At 39.5% G+C, this 18,584-nt stretch overlaps 3 annotated features.

The window, feature by feature from the left end:
* Positions 6,206 to 6,707: an enhancer, noted in NCBI's record as "H3K4me1 hESC enhancer chrX:107192029-107192530 (GRCh37/hg19 assembly coordinates)". NCBI's record gives its function as "activates a minimal SCP1, AML or CMV promoter by ChIP-STARR-seq in primed H9 embryonic stem cells {active_cell/tissue: H9 hESC(primed)}" and the evidence as "EXISTENCE:reporter gene assay evidence [ECO:0000049][PMID:30033119]".
* Positions 6,708 to 7,207: an enhancer, noted in NCBI's record as "H3K4me1 hESC enhancer chrX:107192531-107193030 (GRCh37/hg19 assembly coordinates)". NCBI's record gives its function as "activates a minimal SCP1, AML or CMV promoter by ChIP-STARR-seq in primed H9 embryonic stem cells {active_cell/tissue: H9 hESC(primed)}" and the evidence as "EXISTENCE:reporter gene assay evidence [ECO:0000049][PMID:30033119]".
* Positions 17,388 to 17,887: an enhancer, noted in NCBI's record as "H3K27ac hESC enhancer chrX:107203211-107203710 (GRCh37/hg19 assembly coordinates)". NCBI's record gives its function as "activates a minimal SCP1, AML or CMV promoter by ChIP-STARR-seq in naive H9 embryonic stem cells {active_cell/tissue: H9 hESC(naive)}" and the evidence as "EXISTENCE:reporter gene assay evidence [ECO:0000049][PMID:30033119]".

An 18,584-nucleotide genomic window follows, 5' to 3' on the forward strand; every position in this document is an offset into this window, starting at 1 on the left:
TTCTCTAATATTATGCTTCAAATTTTATTTTTAAAATTACACTAGGAATACACAAGGAATTACGTGAGGAATATATGAATATATTCTTATAAAAATTGTAAAAATATAGAAATGTGTAACAATGAGAGTAAATGCTTATACAGGCCTTACTGTGCCCAACATCACTCTAAATGCTTTAAAGAGATCAGTACAACAATCCATGAAATAGGTACTGTTATTTTTTTCCATTTTACAGATAGGGACACTGAGGGCATAAAGAGGTAACTTGCATGTGGTCATATAGCTAATTATTGTTGGAGCTGGGCTCTTAATCACCTCATTATTTTCCTTCACCTCTACCCAGTTTAATGCCTTACCTCAAATGTGACAACTGTTCTTTTTTTCATTTGCAATTTTATCTACCTATATAAAACACATGCAAAATATTTATGTTTTTGGTGCGTTGGTTTTCTTTTTATGTAATAGGTTAATACTGTGTTATCTTGCAACTAGCTTTTTTCACTTAACCATGTGTCTTTGACTTTTTCCAAGTCTTTATTTTTAAATTAATAATATATAAGCATATTGTTGTGGTAAAAGATCAAAATAATACACAGGTTTAGAGAGAGTAAATCTTCAAACTTCCCTTTCCTGCCTGCTCTCTGACATCTCACCAAAAAAAAACCCCCAAAAAACCCCCAATAAACAACCAACTGTCCACAATTTGGTGAGTGTCCTTACAATCTTCTTTCCATGCATTTTGTGTGAATAAATAAGTATTTATATATATTTACATAACAGGATTCATTCATATTGTTATATAGCCTTTTAATTTCTTATTTATTGATTTAATTACACACATGATACTTGAATACATTTTTCTTTTGAAAGATTAGAGCACTACAGGGAAGTTGAACACTCCCTTTGATCATCATTGATTTCCTCTCTACCTCCTCTGTCCCTACTCACTGTTTGACTTTTCTCCTGCATCTTTTTTTTTTTTTAATTATACTTTAAGTTCTAGGGTACATGTGCACAAAGTGCAGGTTTGTTACATAGGTATACATGTGCCATGTTGGTTTGCTACACCCATTAACTCGTCATTTACATTAGGTATTTCTCCTAATGCTATCCCTCCCCCTGCCCCCCACCCCATGACAGGCCCCTGTGTGTGATGTTCCCCGCCCTGTGCCCAAGTGTTCTCACTGTTCAGTTCCCACCTATGAGTGAGAACATGTGGTGTTTGGTTTTCTGTCCTTGTCATAGTTTGCTGAGAATGATGGTTTCCAGCTTCATCCATGTCCCTACAAAGGACAGGAACTCATCCTTTTTTATGGCTGCATATTATTCCATGGTGTATATGTGCCACATTTTCTTAACCCAGTCTATCATTGATGGACGTTTGGGTTGGTTCCAAGTCTTTGCTAGGGTGAATAGTGCCGCAGTAAACATATGTGTACATGTGTCTTTATAGCAGCATGATTTATAATCCTTTGGGTATATACCCAGTAATGTGATTGCTGGGTCAAATGGTATTTCTAGTTCTAGATCCTTGAGGAATCGTCACACTGTCTTCCACAATGGTTGAACTAGTTTACACTCCCACCAACAGTGTAAAAGCATTCCTATTTCTCCACATCCTCTCCAGCATCTGTTTTTTCCTGACTTTTTAATGATCGCCATTCTAACTGGTGTGAGATGGTATATCATTGTGGTTTTGATTTGCATTTCTCTGATGACCAGTGATGATGAGCATCTTTTCATGTGTCTGTTGGCTGCATAAATGTCTTCTTTTGAGAAATGTCTGTTCATATCCTTTGCCCACTTTTTGATGGGGTTTGTTTTTTTCTTGTAAATTTGTTTAAGGTCTTTGTAGATTCTGGATATTAGCCCTTTGTCAGATGGGTAGATTGCAAAAGTTTACTCCCATTCTGTAGGTTGCCTGCTCACCCTGATGGTAGTTTATTTAGCTATGTAGAAGCTCTTGAGTTTAATTAGATCCCATTTGTCAATTTTGGCTTTTGTTGCCATTGCTTTTGGTGTTTTAGTCATGAAGTCCTTGCCCATGCCTATGTCCTGAATGGTATTGCCTAGGTTTTCTTCTAGGGTGTTTTATGGTTTTAGGTCTAACATTTAGGTCTTTAATTCATCTTGAATTAATTTTTGTATAAGGTGTAAGGAAGGGATCCAGTTTCAGCTTTCTACATATGGCTAGCCAGTTTTCCCAACACCATTTATTTTAAATAGGGAATCCTTTCCCCATTTCTTGTTTTTGTCAGGTTTGTCAAAGATCAGATGGTTGTAGATGTGTGGTATTATTTCTGAGGGCTCTATTCTGTTCCATTGTTCTATCTCTCTGTTTTAGTACCAGTACCATGCTATTTTTGTTACTGTAGCCTTGTAGTATAGTTTGAAGTCAGGTAGCATGATGCCTCCAGCTTTGTTCTTTTTGCTTAGGATTGTCTTGGCAATGCAGGCTCTTTTTTTGGTTCCATATGAACTTTAAAGTAGTTTTTTCCAATTCTGTGAAGAAAGTTATTGGTACCTTGATGGAGGTGGCATTGAATCTATAAATTACCTTGGGGAGTATGGCCATTTTCATGATATTGATCCTTCCTATCCGTAAGCATGGAATGTTCTTCCATTTGTTTGTGTCCTCTTTTATTTCGTTGAGCAGTGGTTTGTAGTTCTCCTTGAAGAGGTCCTTCGCTTCCCTTGTAAATTGGATTTGTAGGTATTTTATTCTCTTTGTAGCAAATGTGAATGGGAGTTCACTCATGATTTGGCTGTTTGTCTGTTATTGGTGTATAGGAATGCTTGTGATTTTTGCACATTGATTTTGTATCCTGAGACTTTGCTGAAGTTGCTTATCAGCTTAAGGAGATTTTGGGCTGAGACGATGGGGTTTTCTAAATATACAATCATGTGATCTGCAAACGGGGACACAAAGGGGCTGCTTCCAGCTTTTGCCCATTCAGTATGATATTGGCTGTGGGTTTGTCATAAATAACTCTCAATATTTTGAGATATGCTCCATCAATACCTAGTTTATTGAGAGTTTTTAGCATGAAGGGCTGTTGAATTTTGTCAAAGGCCTTTTCTGCATCTGTTGACGTAATCATGTGGTTTTTGTCATTGGTTCTGTGTATGTGATGGATTATGTTTATTGATTTGCGTATGTTGAACCAGACTTGCATCCCAGGGATGAAGCCCACTTGATCATGATGGATAAGCTTTTTAATGTGCTGCTGGATTTGGTTTGCCAGTATTTTATTGAGGATTTTTGCATCAGTGTTCACTAGGGATAGTGGTCTAAAATTCTCTTTTTTTGTTGTGTCTCTGCCAGGCTTTGGTATCAGGATGATGTTGGCCTCATAAAATGAGTTAGGGAGGATTCCCTCTTTTTCTATTGATTGGAATAGTTTCAGAAGGAATGGTACCAACTCCTCTTTGTACCTCTGGTAGAATTTGGCTGTGAATCCATCTGGTCTTGGACTTTGTTTTGGTTGGTAGGCTATTAGTTATTGCCTCAATTTCAGAGCCTGCTATTGGTCTATTCAGAGATTCAACTTCATCCTGATTTCGTCTTGGGAGGGTGTATGTGTCGAGGAATTTATCCATTTCTTCTAGATTTTCTAGTTTATTTGCATAGAGGTGTTTATAGTATTCTCTGATGGTAGTTTGTATTTCTGTAGGATCAGTGGTGATATCCCCTTTATCATTTTTTATTGCATCCATTTGATTCTTCTCTCTTTTCTTCTTTATTAGTCTTGCTAGCGGTCTATCAATTTTGTTGATCTTTTCAAAAAATCAGCTCCTGGATTCACTGATTTTTTTGAAGGGTTTTTTTGTATCTGTATCTCATTCAGTTCTGCTCTGATCTTAGTTATTTCTTGCCTTCTGCTGGCTTTTGAATTTGTTTGCTCTTGCTTCTCTAGTTCTTTTAATCATGATGTTAGGGTGTCGATTTTAGATCTTTCCTGCTTTCTCTTGTGGGCATTTAGTGCTATAAATTTCCCTCTATACACTGCTTTAAATGTGTCCCAGAGATTCTGGTACGTTGTGTCTTTGTTCTCATTGGTTTCAAAGAACATGTTTATTTCTGCCTTCATGTCATTATTTACCCAGTAGTCATTCAAGAGCAAGTTGTTCAGTTTCCATGTAGTTGAGCGGTTTTGAGTGAGTTTCTTAATCCTGAGCTCTAATTTGATTGCACTGTGGTCTGAGAGACAGTTTGTTGTGATTTCTGTTCTTTTACATTTGCTGAGGAGCGCTTTACTTCCAACTATGTGGTCAATTTTAGAATAAGTGCAATATGTTGCTCAGAAGAATGCATATTCTCTTGGTTTGGGGTGGAGAGTTCTGTAGATGTCTATTAGGTCTGCTTGGTGCAGAGCTAAGCTCAAGTCATGTATATCTTTGTTAAACATCTGTCTCACTGATCTGTCTAATATTGACAGTGGGGTGTTGAAGTCTCCCACTATTATTGTGTGGGAGTCTAAGTCTCTTTGTACATCTCTAAGGACTTGCTTTATGAATCTGGGTGCTCCTGTTTTGGTGCATATATATTTGGGATAGTTAGCTGTTCTTGTTGAATTGATCTCTTTACCATTATGTAATGACCTTCTTTGTCTCTTTTGATCTTTGTTGGTTTAAAGTCTATTTTATCAGAGACTAGGATTGCAACTCCTGCTTTTTTTTTTTTTTTTTTTTGCTTTCGGTTTTCTTGGTAGATCTTCCTCCATCCCTTTATTTTGAGCCTATGTGTGTCTCTGCACGTGAGATGGGTCTCCTGAATACAGCACACGGATGGGTCTTGACTCTTTATCCAGTTTGCCAGTCTGTGTCTTTTAATTGGGGCATTCAGCCCATTTATATTTAAGGTTAATATTATGTGTGTATTTGATCCTGTCATTATGATGTTAGCTGGTTATTTTGCCCGTTAGTTGATGCTGTTTCTTCCTAGCCTCGATGGTCTTTACAATTTGGCATGTTTTTTGCAGTGGCTGGTACCGGTTGTTCCTTTCCATGCTTAGTGCTTCCTTCAGGAGCTCTCGTAAGGCAGGCCTGGTGGTAACAAAATCTCTCAGCATTTGCTTGTCTGTAAAGGATTTTATTTCTCCTTCATTTATGAAGCTTAGTTTGCCTGGATATGAAATTCTGGGTCGAATATTCTTTTCTTTAAGAATGTTGAATATTGGCCCCGACTCTCTTCTGGCTTGTAGAGTTTCTGCTGAGAGATCTGCTGTTAGCCTGATGGGCTTCCTTTTGTGGGTAACCCGACCTTTCTCTTTGGCTGCCCTTAACATTTCTTCCTTCATTTCAACCTTGGTGAATCTGACAATTATGTGTCTTGGGGTTGCTCTTCTCGAGGAGTGTCTTTGTGATGTTCTTTGTATTTCCTGAATTTGAGTGTTGGCCTGCCTTGCTAGGTTGGGGAAGTTCTCCTGCATAATATCCTGCAGAGTGTTTTCCAACTTGGTTCCATTCTCCCCATCACTTTCAGGTACACCAATCAAATGTAGATTTGGTCTTTTCACAGAGTCCCATATTTCTTGCAGGCTTTGTTTGTTTCTTTTTACTCTTTTTTCTCTAAACTTCTCCTCCTGCTTTATTTCATTAATTTGATCTTTAATCACTGATACTCTCTCTTCCACTTGATCGAACTGGCTATTGAAGCTTGTGCATGCATCACGTAGTTCTTGTGCCATGGTTTTCAGCTCCATCAGGTCATTTAAGGTCTTCTCTGCACTGGTTATTCTAGTTAGCCATTCGTCTAATCTTTTTTCAAGGTTTTTAGCTTCCTTGCGATAGGTTCGAACATCCTCCTTTAGCTCAGAGAAGTTTGTTATTACCAACCTTCTGAAGCCTGCTTCTGTCAACTCGTCAAAGTCATTCTCTGTCCAGCTTTGTTCCATTGCTGGTGAGGAGCTGTGATCCTTTGGAGGAGAAGAGGCACTCTGGTTTTTAGAGTTTTCAGCTTTTCTGCTCTGGTTTCTCCCCATCTTTGTGGTTCTATCTACCTTTGGTCTTTGATGATGGTGACCTACAGATGGGGTTTTGGTATGATGTCCTTTTTGTTGTTGTTGATGCTATTCCTTTCTGTTTGTTAGTTTTCCTTCTAACAGTCAGGTCCCTCAGCTGCATGTCTGTTGGAGTTTTCTGGAGGTCCACTCCAGGCCCTGTTTTCCTGGGTGTCACCAGCGGAGGCTGCAGAACAGCAAATATTGCTGCCTGATCCTTCCTCTGGAAGCTTCATCCCAGAGGGGCACCTGCCTGTATGAGGTGTCAGTTGGCCCCTACTTGGAGGGGTCTCCCCGTTAGGCTACATGGGGCTCAGGGGCCCACTTGAGGAGGCAGTCTGTCCATTCTCAGAGCTCAAACAGCATGCTGGGAGAGCCACTGCTGTCTTCAGAGCTGTCAGACAGGGATGTTTAAGTCTGCAGGAGTTTCTGCTGCTTTTTGTTCAGCTATGCCCTGCCACCAGAGGTGAGGTCTACAGAGGCAGCAGGCTGTCAGACAGGGACGTTTAAGTCTGCAGGGGTTTCTTCTGCTTTTTGTTCAGCTATGCCCTGCCACCAGAGGTGGGGTCTACAGAGGCAGCAGGCCTTGCAGAGCTGCGGTGGGCTCCATCCAGTTTGAGCTTCCCCAGCCACTTTGTTTACCTACTCAAGCCTCAGCTATGGCGGACTCCCCTCCCCCTGCCAGGCTGCTGCCTCACGGGTCAATCTCAGACTGCTGTGCTAGCAGTGAGCAAGGCTCCGTGGGCATGGGACTCGCTGAGCCAGGTGCAGGATATTATCTCCTGATGTGCCATTTGCTAAGATCATTGGTAAAGCACAGTATTTGGGCAGGAGTGTCCCAATTTTCCAGGTATAGTCTTTCACGACATCCCTTGGCTAGGAAAGGGAAATCCCCCCACCCCTTGTGCTTTCTGGGCAAAGCGATGCCCTGCCCTGCTTTGGCTGGCCCTGTGTGGGCTGCACCCACTGTCCAACCAGTCCAATGAGATGAACCAGGTACCTCAGTTGGAAATGCAGAAATCCCGTCTTCTGCGTTGATTACACTGGGAGCTGCAGACTGGAGCTGTTCCTATTCAGCCATCTTGGAACGGAATCTCTCCTGCATCTCTTTTTTATTAATTCACAAGCATTTACATTTTTATATTTTTATAATATGTTTGTTATCTGGCATTGAAAGAGCTTCCTTTCATTTTTGTGGTTATTTTTACATATTTACTATTTCAACGAATTTTAAATGCAGATTATTATACCCATGTAGGATCTTACTAGCATTTTTATTTGGTATTTCACTGAGTTTACAGATTTAACCAGGGAGAGTTAGCATCTTTACATGAATGAGTCTTTATATGAATAAACATGATATGGCTTTCCACTTATCCAAATTTTTAAGTCCTTTAGTAGTGCTTCATAATTTTCTCTGTAAATATTTTGAACATATCTTGTTTGCTTTATTTCTAGATACTTCATTTTTGTTGCTACCTTCAATAGAACTTTTTCTTTCGTTTTATAATTACCATAGGAGTATAAGAAAGCTATTGATTTTTGTATGTTGTCTTTTGCCAGCAACTTTACTAACAAATTCTCTTTTCTTTCTAATCGATTTTTTGTTGATTCTATTGGATTTTCTTGGTAGGAAAACAGATTATTACAAATACTGATAGTTTTGTCTCTGTCTTTAGCCTGGATACCATGTGTACTTTTTGTGTTTTAATGCATTGGCTAGGACCTCGGATTTAAATTTGAATCATACCAATATCAGATATCTTTATTTTTTCCTTCCATTTAATGGGAATGCTTCTAAAATTTCATCAAGTATTATGTTTGCTGTGGGTGTCTGGCAGTTACCCTTTATTAAGTCAAATAAACTCTCTTGAATTTCTATCTTTCTGAGGCTTTTTAAAAACAAGAATGGTCACGCTTGTAATCCTAGCAATTTGGGAGGCCAAGGAGAGTAGATCGCTTGAGTCCAGGAGTTTGAGACCAGCCTGCACAACATTGCAAAACCTCATCCCTACAAAATAATAATAATAATAAATTAGCAAGGTGTGGTGGCATGTGCCTATACAGAGTCCCAGCTACTCGGTGAGGGCTGAGATAGTAAGATTGCTTGAGCCTGGGAAGGTCGAGACTTCAGTGAGCTATGACTGCACCACTGTACTCCAGCCTGGGTGACAGAGTGAGACCCTGTCTCAAAAAAAAAATAAAAATAAAAAAAAGAAACCAAGAAGGGATGAAAAAGCAAAGCTTTATCCATTGTTTTTTCACCTGTAAGTAGGACATATAGTTTTTTCCGTTTACATTATTAATGCATAAAATTGCATTGATAGCTTTAAAATTTTTTTATTAAAATTTCCGAATGTACATAACAGTAGAATGTACAATAAAACCCCGTACATACTCATAACTCAGCTTCAATAGCCATCAACATTTTTCCATGCTTGTTTCAACTATGATCTTCCCCTCTTTTATGCTGGAATATTTTAGGCTAATCAGGAATATCATGTAATTTCACTCCTAAATATTTCAGTATGCGTAGCAAAAGAATTATAGCAAAAGGAACATCTCATATAGTCACAATGCCATTATCACACTAATACCCGGTGAATAATCTGATTTTTCTAATTGTCTGAAAATGTTTTTGCCATTGAGGTTTGTTGGAATTGGGATCCAATTGAGGTCACCTTATTATATTATGTTATATCTATTAAGTTTCTTTTAAAAATTTTATTTTTATTTATTTATTTATTTTTTATTTATTTATTTTTTTTGAGACAGAGTCTCACTCTGTTGCCCAGGCTGGAGTGCAGTGGCGCGATCTCGGCTCACTGCAAGCTCTGCCTCCCGGGTTCACGCCATTCTCCTGCCTCAGCCTCCCGAGTAGCTGGGACTACAGGCGCCCGCCACCACGCCCAGCTGATTTTTTGTATTTTTAGTAGAGACGGGGTTTCACCATGTTAGCCAGGATGGTCTCGATCTCTTGACCTTGTGATCCGCCCACCTCGGCCTCCCAAAGTGTTGGGATTACAGGCTTGAGCCACCGCACCCAGCCTCTTTTAAAAATTTTAAAAGCTAAACCAAACAGTACCTCCTCTCTTTTATTGTGATGACATTGGCTTGTTGAAGAAACTTGGCATTTGTCCTCTAGACTGTCCCATATTCTGGATTCGGCTGATTACTTCCTTGAGGTGTTATTTTACTTGTTTCTATATTCCCTGTTGTTTCTTGTAAACTGGAATGTAAAGCTAAAGACTTGATTAGACTGGATGGTGTGGCTCATACCTGTAATCTCAGCACTTTGGGAGGTACTTTGGGAGGTGGGCGGATCACTTGAGCCCAGGAGTTCAAGATGAGCCGGGACAATATGATGAAAACTCGTCTTAAAAAAAATGCAAAAATGAGCTGCTGTGGTGGCCCGCACCTATAGTCCCAGCTACTTGGGAGGCTGAGGTAGGAGAATTATGTGAGCCTGGGGAGGTCAAGGCTGCAGTGGGCAGTGATCATGCTACTGCAGTCCAGCTGGTCAACAGAGTGAGACCTTGTCTCAAAAAAAGAAAAAAAAAAGACTTGGTTAGATTAGGTTTTTAAAATTATTATTTGGCAAGAATATCTCATGGTTGTTACTATGTACTTCCTTTTATGTAATTTGCAGTTGTCTCACTTTTAGTAATACTAAAAGTGGATTGAGGTGGTGATAGTCTGATCCCTTCATTGTAAAGTTCTCCATTATCCTTTCACCTTTTGCATTGCTTTACTATTTATTTCATAATTGTTATTCGAATCAATTATTTCATTATTGATTTCAAAGTAATGATTTTCTAATTCTTTCATTCTTTGAGCATTCATCAGCTAGAATTCCTCTGTAAGAAGAACTATCCCTCATCTACTAGGGTTATTTGGTAAGCCTAAAATACAGTTTCTATGGGAAAGACACGGTAAATTCTTAACTCTTTCCCTTTAATTGCCAGTTTTCCAAGTAAGGAGTTAGTACCCTGTTCCACGTTGACACATCTTTAAATGTTAAACCTTCCCTGCAGTCCTAGGATTAGCCTATTGGGGCATAATGTATCTTTTTAAATCTACTGCAGGATTTGAATGACTAGTATTTTATCTGCCATTTTAAAAAATCTGTGTTTATACATGAGATTGCCTATAGCATTGATCCTCAATTGGCAAAATTACCCCTCAAGAAGGCATTTGGAAATATCTGGAGGTGCTTTTGGTTGTCAGTTTATTAAGTGTGTGAGTTGGGGGAGTCCTACTACAATTGGGTAAATGGTGACTGGGGTTGCTAAATGAAGAACTGTCTCAACAAAAATGCTATTAGCACTCTTATGAAAAATGCTGGCCCGTAGTTCTCTTGTGCTTTTCCAATTTTTGTATCAAGGTTATACGTTTTTATATCAAGGTTCATATGTGAGATGGGCTATAATTTTCTTTCCCTTTACTTGTCAGTTTTGGTATCAAGATTATACCAGCCTTATAGCTGTGTGGTGTCATTTACCATTTTTTTAATATGGAAAAAATGTTTGGAAAGTTTCATTAATCTGTTCCTAGATGGTTTTGTCAAACACCCACAAAATTTCTGGAAATGGTGACTTTTAAGGTAGATTCTTGATTATCATTATACATTCTAATGTGATTAATAGGTTTATTTAAGTATTCTATTTCTTAGGCCAATTCTTGGACTAATTTTCCTAGAAATTATCCATTTCACCTAGATTTTCAAAGTTATTGGTGTAAAAGTTATACAGTATTCCTAAAATAATTTTTTGGTATAGTCTCTTTCTGTAGTTTGGTCCCCTTTCAGTTTTTTGAGATTATGTGTTGTATTTATTTTAAATAGATTCTGACACAAACTTTTGCAGTAGCAGAATAGAAAGTGAAACACTTAGAAGACATATGTGGCAATCAAATTGATAATTATGCCAGTTCATATTTTCACTGATCTTTTCTGCATTTCCATTGATTCTTTTTTAAATAAAATTTACTTTAAGTTCTGGGATACATGTGCAGAACATACAGGTTTGTTACATAGGTATACATGTGCCATGGTGGCTTGCTGCACCTATCAACTTGTCATCTAGGTTTTAAGCCCCGCATGTGTTAGGTATTTGTCCTAATTATCTTGCTCCCTTTCCCCCCAACCCCTGCCAGGCCCCGGTGTGTGATGTTCCCCTCCCTGTGTCCATGTGTTCTCATTGTTCAACTCCCATTATGAGTGAGAACATGTGGTGTTCGGTTTTCTGTTCCTGTGTTTGTTTGCTGAGAATGATGGTTTCCAGGTTCATCCATGTCCCTGCAAAGGACATGAACTCATTCTTTTTATGGCTGTATAGTATTCCATGTGTATATGTGCTACATTTTCCACATGTGTATATGTGCCACATTTTCTTTATCCAGTCTATCATTGATGGGCATTTGGGTTGGTTCAAATCTATGCTATTGTAAATGGTGCTGCAATAAAAATATGTGTGCATGTGTCTTTATAGTAGAATGATTTATAATACTTTGGGTATATATCCAGTAATGGGATTGCTGGGTCAAATGGTATTTCTGGTTCTAGATCCTTGAGGAATCACCACACTGTCTTCCACAATGGTCGAACTGATTTACACTCCCATCAATAGTGTGAAAGCATTCCTATTTCTCCACATCCTCTCCAGCATCTGTTGTTTCCTGACTTTTTAATTATCGCCATTCTAGTGTGAGATGGTATCTCACTGTGGTTTTGATTTACATTTTTCTAATGACCAGTGATAATGAGCTTATTTTCATATGTTTGATGGCTACATAAATGTCTTCTTTTGAGAAGTGTCTGTTCATATCCCTTGCCCACTTTTTGAAGGGGTTGTTTTTTCTCTTGTACATTTGTTTAAGTTCTTGTAGATTCCGAATATTAGATCTTTGTCAGACGGATAGGTTGCAAAAATGTTCTCCCATTCTGTAGGTTGCCTGTTCACTCTGATGATAGTTTCTTTTGCTGTGCAGAAGCTCTTTAGTTTAAGTAGATCCCATTTGTCAATTTTGGCTTTTGTTGCCATTGCTTTTGGTGTTTTAGCCATGAAGTGTTTGCCCATGCCTATGTCCTGAATGGTATTGCCTAGGTTTTCTTCTAGTGTTTATATGCTTTTTGGTTTTACATTTAAGTCTTTAATCCATCTTGAGTTAATTTTTGTATAAGGTGTATGGAAAGGGTCCAGTTTCAGCTTTCTACATATGGCTAGCCAGTTTTCCCAGCACCATTTATTAAATAGGGAATTCTTTCCCCATTGCTTGTTTTTGTCAGGTTTGTTGAAGATCAGATGATTGTAGATGTGTGCTCTTACTTCCGAGGTCTCTATTCTGTTCCATTGGTCTATATATCTGTTTTGGTACTAGTACCATGCAGCTTTGGTTACTGTAGTCTTGTAGTATAGTTTGAAGTTGTGTAGCCTGATGCCTTCTGCTCTGTTCTTTTTGCTTAGGATTGTCTTGGCTATACAGGCTCTTTTTTTGGTTCCATATGCAATTTAAAGTAGTTTTTTTCTAATTTTGCAAAGAAAGTAAATGGTAGCTTGATGGGAATAGCATGGAATCTATAAATTACTTTGGGCAGCATGACTGTTTTCATGATATTGATTTATCCTATCCATGAGCATGGAATATTTTTCCATTTGTTTGTGTCCTCTTTTATTTTCTTGAGCAGTGGTTTGTAGTTCTCCTTGAAGAGGTCCTTCACATCTATATTCCTAAGTGTTTTATTCTCTTTTTAGCAATTTGTGAATGGGAGTTCACTCATGATTTGGCTCTCTGCTTGTCTATTATTGGTGTACAGGAATGCTTGTGATTTTTGTACATTGATTTTGTATTCTGAGACTTTGCTGAAGTTGCTTATCAGCTTAGGGAGTTTTTGGGCTGAGACAATGGGGCTTTCTGAATATACAGTCATGTCATCTGCAAGCAGAGACAATTTGACTTCCTCTTTTCCTGACTGAATACCCTTTATTTCTTTCTCTTGCCTGATTGCCCTGGTCAGAACTTCCAGTACTATGTTGAATAGGAGTGGTGAGAGAGGGCATGCTTATCTTATGCCTGTTTTCAAAGGGGCTGCTTCCAGCTTTTGCCCATTCAGTATGATATTGGCTATGGGTTTGTCATAAATAGCTCTTATTATTTTGAGATATATTCCATCAGTACCTAGTTTATTGAGAGTTTTTAGCACGAAGGGATGTTGAATTTTATCAAAGGCCTTTTCTGCATCTGTTGAGATAATCGTGGTTTTTGTCATTGATTCTGTTTATGTGATGGGTTATGTTTATTGATTTGCATATGTTGAACCAGGCTTGCATCCCAGGGATGAAACCAACTTGATCGTGATGAATAAGCTTCATGATGTGCTACTGCATTCGGTTTGCCAGTATTTTATTGGGGATTTTCGCATTGATCTTCACCAGGGATATTGGCCTGAAATTTTCTCTTTTTTGTTCTATCTCTGCCAGGTTTTGGTATTAGGATGATGCTGGCCTCATAAAATGAGTTATGAAAAAGTCTCTCTTTTTCTATTGTTTGGAATAGTTTCAGAGAGAATGGTACCAGCTCCTCTTTGTACCTCTGGTAGAATTTGGCTGTGAATTCATCTGGTCCTGGGTTTCTTTTGGTTGGTAGGCTATTAATCATTGCCTCAATTTCAGAACTTGTTATTGGTCTTTTCGGGGAGTCGACTTCTTCCTGGTTCAGTCTTGGGAGGGTGTATATGTCCAGGAATTTATCCATTTCTTCCAGATTTTCTAGTTTATTTGCATAGAGGTGTTTATAGTACTCTCTGATGGTAGTTTGTATTTCTGTGGGATCAGTGGTGATATCCCCTTTATCATTTTTTAGTGTGTCTATTTGATTCTTCTGTTTTCTTCTTTATTAGGCTGGCTAGTGGTCAATCTATTTTGTTAATCTTTTCAAAAAACCAGCTCCTGGATTCATTGATATTTTGAAGGGTTTTTTGTGTCTCTATCTCCTTCTCTTTTGCTCTGATCTTAGTTATTTCTTGTCTTCTGCTAGCTTTTGAATTTGTTTGCTCTTGCTTATCTAGTTCTTTTTTTTTTTTTTTTTTCTGAAGTGGAGTCTTGCTTTGTCGCCCAGGCTGGAGTGCAGTGGCATGATCTCGGCTCACTGCAAGCTCCACCTCCCGGGTTCATGCCATTCTCCTGCCTCAGCCTCCTGAGTAGCTGTGACTACAGGCGCCTGCCACCATGCCCGGCTAATTTTTTTGTATTTTCAATAGAGACGGGGTTTCACTGTGTTAGCCCGGATAGTCTTGATCTCCTGACCTTGTGATCTGCCTGCCTCAGCCTCCCAAAATGCTGGGATTACAGGCATGAGCCACCGCGCCCGGCTGCTTCTCTAGTTCTTTTATTGTGATGTTCAGGTGTCGAATTCAGATCTTTCCAGCTTTCCAGTGTGGGCGTTTAGTACGATAAATTTCCCTCTTAACACAGCTTTAGCTGTGTCCCAGAGATTCTGGTATGTTGTGTCTTTGTTCTCATTGGTTTCAAAGAACTTCTTTATTTCTGCCTTAATTTCGTTATTTACCCAGTAGTCATTCAGGAGCAGGTTGTTCAGTTTCCATGTAGTTGTGAGGTTTTGAGTGAATTTCTTAATCCTGAGTTCTAATTTGATTGCACTGCAGTCTGAGAGGCTGTTTGTTATGATTTCTGTTCTTTCGCATTTGCTGAGAAGTGTTTTACTTCCAGTTATATGGTCGATTTTAGAATAAGTGCTATGTGGTGCTGAGAAGAATGTATATTCTGTCTATTTGGGGTGGAGAGTTCTGTAGATGTCTATTAGGTCTGCTTGGTCCAGAGCTGAGTTCAAGTCCTGAACATCCTTGTTAATTTTCTGTCTCATTGATCTGTCTAATATTGACAGTGGGGTGTTAAAGTCTCCCACTATTATTGTGTGGGAGTCTAAGTTTTTTTGTAGCTCTCTAAGAACTTGTTTTATGAATCTGGGTGCTCCTGTATTGGGTGCATATATATTTAGGATAGTTAGCTCTTCCTGTTGAATGGATCCCTTTACCCTTATTTAATGCCCTTCTTTGTCTTTTTTGATCTTTGTTGGTTTAAAGTCTGTTTTATCAGAGACTAGGATTGCAACTCCTGCTTTTTTTTGCTTTCCATTTGCTTGGTAAATATTCCTCCATCCCTTTATTTTGAGCCTATGTGTGTCTTTGCACATGAGATGGGTCTCCTGAATACCGCACACTGATGGGTCTTGACTCTTTATCCAATTTGCCAGTCTGGTAGCCCATTTACATTTAAGGTTAATATTGTTATGTGTGAATTTGATCCTGTCATTATAATGCTAGCTCTTTATTTTGCCCGTTAGTTGATGCAGTTTCTTCCTAGCATCGACGGTCTTTACAATTTGGCATGTTTTTGCAGTGGCAGGTACCGGTTGTTCCTTTCCATGTTTAGTACTTCCTTCAGAAGCTCTTTTAGGGCAGGCCTGGTGGTGACAAAATCTCTCAGCATTTGCTTGTCTGTAAAGGATTTTATTTCTCCTTCATTTATGAAGCTTAGTTTGGCTGGATACGAAATTCTGGGTTGAAAATTATTTTCTTTAAGAATGTTGAATATTGGCCCCCACTCTCTTCTGGCTTGTAGAGTTTCTGCAGAGAGATCAGCTGTTAGTCTGATGGGCTTCCTTTTGTAGGTAACCTGACCTTTCTCTCTGGCTGCCCTTAACATTTTTTCCTTCATTTCAACCTTGGGGAATCTGATGATTATGTGTCTGGGATTGCTCTTCTCGAAGAGTATCTTAATAGTGTTCTCTGTATTTCCTGAATTTGAATGTTGGCCTGTCTTGCTAGGTGGGGGAAGTTCTCCAGGATCATATCCTGAAGTGTGTTTTCCAACTTGGTTCCATTTTCCCCATCAGTTTCAGAGACCCCAATCAATCGTAGGTTTGGTCTTTTCACATAGTCCCATATTTCTTGGAGGTTTTGTTTGTTCTTTTTCATTCTTTTTTCTTTAATCTTGTCTTCACTCCTTATTTCAGTAAGTTGATCCTCAATCTCTGATATCCTCTCTTCTGCTTGATTGATTCAGCTATTGATACTTGTGTATGCTTCACGAAGTTCTCATGCTGTGTTTTTCAGGTCCATCAGATCATTTATGGTCTTCTCGAAACTGGTTATTATTGTTAGCAATTCCTGTAACCTTTTATCAAGGTTTTTAGCTTCTTAGCATTGGGTTAGATCGTGCTCCTTTAGCTCAGAGTAGTTTGTTATTACCCACCTTCTGAAGCCTACTTCTGTCAGTTTGTCAATCTCATTCTCCATCCAGTTTTGTGCCCTTGCTAGAGAGGAGTTGTGATCATTTGGAGGAGAAGAGGCATTCTGGTTTCTGGAATTTTCAGCATTTTTCGCCAGTTTTTCCTCATCTTTGTGGATTTTTCTACCTTTGATCTTTGAGGTTGATAATCTTTGGATGGGGTTTTTGTGTGGGGGTCCTTTTTGTTGATGTTGATGCTTTTGCTTTCTGTTTGTTAGTTTTTCTTCTCACAGTCAGGCCTCGCTTCTGCAGGTCTGCTGCAGTTTGTGGGAGGTCCTCTTCAGACCCTCTTCAACTGGGTATCACCAGTGGAGGCTGCAGAACAGCAGTATCACCAGTGGAGGCCACAGAACAGCAAAGATTGCTGCCTACTCCTTCCTCTGGAAGCTTCGTCCCAGAGGGACACAGGCCTGATGCCAGCCAGAGCTCTCCTGTATGAGGTGTCTGTTGACCCCTGTTGGGAGGTCCCTCCCAGTCAGGAGGCATGGGCATCAGGGACCCACTTCAGGAGGCAGTTCTGTCCCTTAGCAGAGCTCGAGTGCTGTGCTGGGAGAATCCTCGTCAGGATCAGCTGCTCTCTTCAGAGCCGGCAGGCAGGAAAGTTTAAGTCCGCTGAAAATGCACCCACATCCACCCCTTCCCTCAGGTGCTCTGTCCTAGGGAGATAGGGGTTTTATCTATGAGCCCCTTACTGGGGCTGTTGCCTTTACTTTAGAGATGCTCTGCCCCATGAGGAGGAATCTAGAGAAGCAGTCTGGCCACAGCCACTTTGCCACGTTGTGGTAAATTCCGCCCAGCCCAAATCCCCCAGCCTCCTTAGCAGTGTCAGCGGAAAACTGAATACTAAAGCCTCAGTAATGGCGGACACCCCTCCCTGCACCAAGCTAGATTGTCCCAGGTTGACTTCAGACTGCTGTGCCAGCTGCGAGAATTTCAAGCCAGTGGTTCTTAGCTTGCTGGGTTCCATGGGAGTGGGACCCGCTGAGAGAGACCACTTGGCTCCCTGGCTTCAGCCCCCTTTCCAGGGGAGTGAATGGTTCTGTCTCACTGAGGTTCCAGCCGCCACTGGGATATGGAAAAACTCCTGCAGCTAGCTTGGTGTCTGCCCAAACAGCTGCCCAGTTTTGTGCTTGAAACCCAGGGTCCTGGTGGTGTAGGCACATGAGGGAATCTCCTGATCTGCAGGTTGCAAAAACCATGGGGAAAAAACGTAGTATCCGGGCCGGGTAGCACAGTTCCTCATGGCTTCCCTTGGCTGGGGAAGGGAGGTCCCCTGGATTCTTGCATTTCCTGGGTGAGGTGATGCCCCACCCTGTTTTTGCTTGCACTCTGTGGGCTGCATCCACTGCCTAACCAGTCCCATTGAGATGAACTGAGTACCTCAGTTGGAAATGCAGAAATCACCTGCCTTCTGCATTGGTCTCGCTGGTAGCTGCAGACCGGAGCTGTTCCTATTTGGCCATCTTGTCTGTACTCCAAAATTCCTTCTTGCTTGGGGGAGATTAGTCTTTGTTCCATTAAAGCCTTCAATTGATAGTATCAGGCCGACCCACATTATACCCTTTATTTTTTAATGTTAATTTGTGCCTTCTTTATTTTTGAAATCATACTTGCCAAAAACTTTTGTATTCTATTAATCTTTTCAAATAAATATTATTTCCTCTTATCCATCTACTCCATGGTTCTATTATTGTTTGTTTTCTATTTCAGTAATTATTAATTTCATCTTAATTATTTTTGTTTTTTATTTGTTTTTCTTAATGTTTAATTTTTGCAAGTACATAGTAGGTGTATATTTTTATCAGGCACATGAGATATTTTGATACTGGCATGCAATGCTTAATAATCACATCAGATTAAATAGGGTACTCATTACCTCAAGCATTTACCCTTTGTGTTACAAACAATCCAATTATACTCTTTTAGTTATTTTAAAAAGTATAATTAAATTGCTATTGACTATAGTCAGCCTGTTGTGCTATCAAATACTAGATCTTATTCATTCTATCAATTTTTTTGTACCCATTAACCACCTTCACTTCCCAGACTCTGGTAACCATTCTTCTGCCCTCTATCTCCATGAATTCAATTGTTTTAATTTTTAGATCCCATAGTAAATGAGAACATGTGATGTTTGTCTTTCTGTGTCTGGCTTATTTCATTTAACATAATGACCTCCCATTCCATCCATGTTGTTGCAAATGACAGGATCTCTTTTCATTTTCGTGGCTGAATAGTAGTACTACATTGTGATATGTACATTTTCTTTATCCAT

The sequence above is a fragment of the Homo sapiens genome, chromosome X (genome assembly GCF_000001405.40).
Source record: "Homo sapiens chromosome X, GRCh38.p14 Primary Assembly".
NCBI classification, from domain to species: domain Eukaryota; kingdom Metazoa; phylum Chordata; class Mammalia; order Primates; family Hominidae; genus Homo; species Homo sapiens.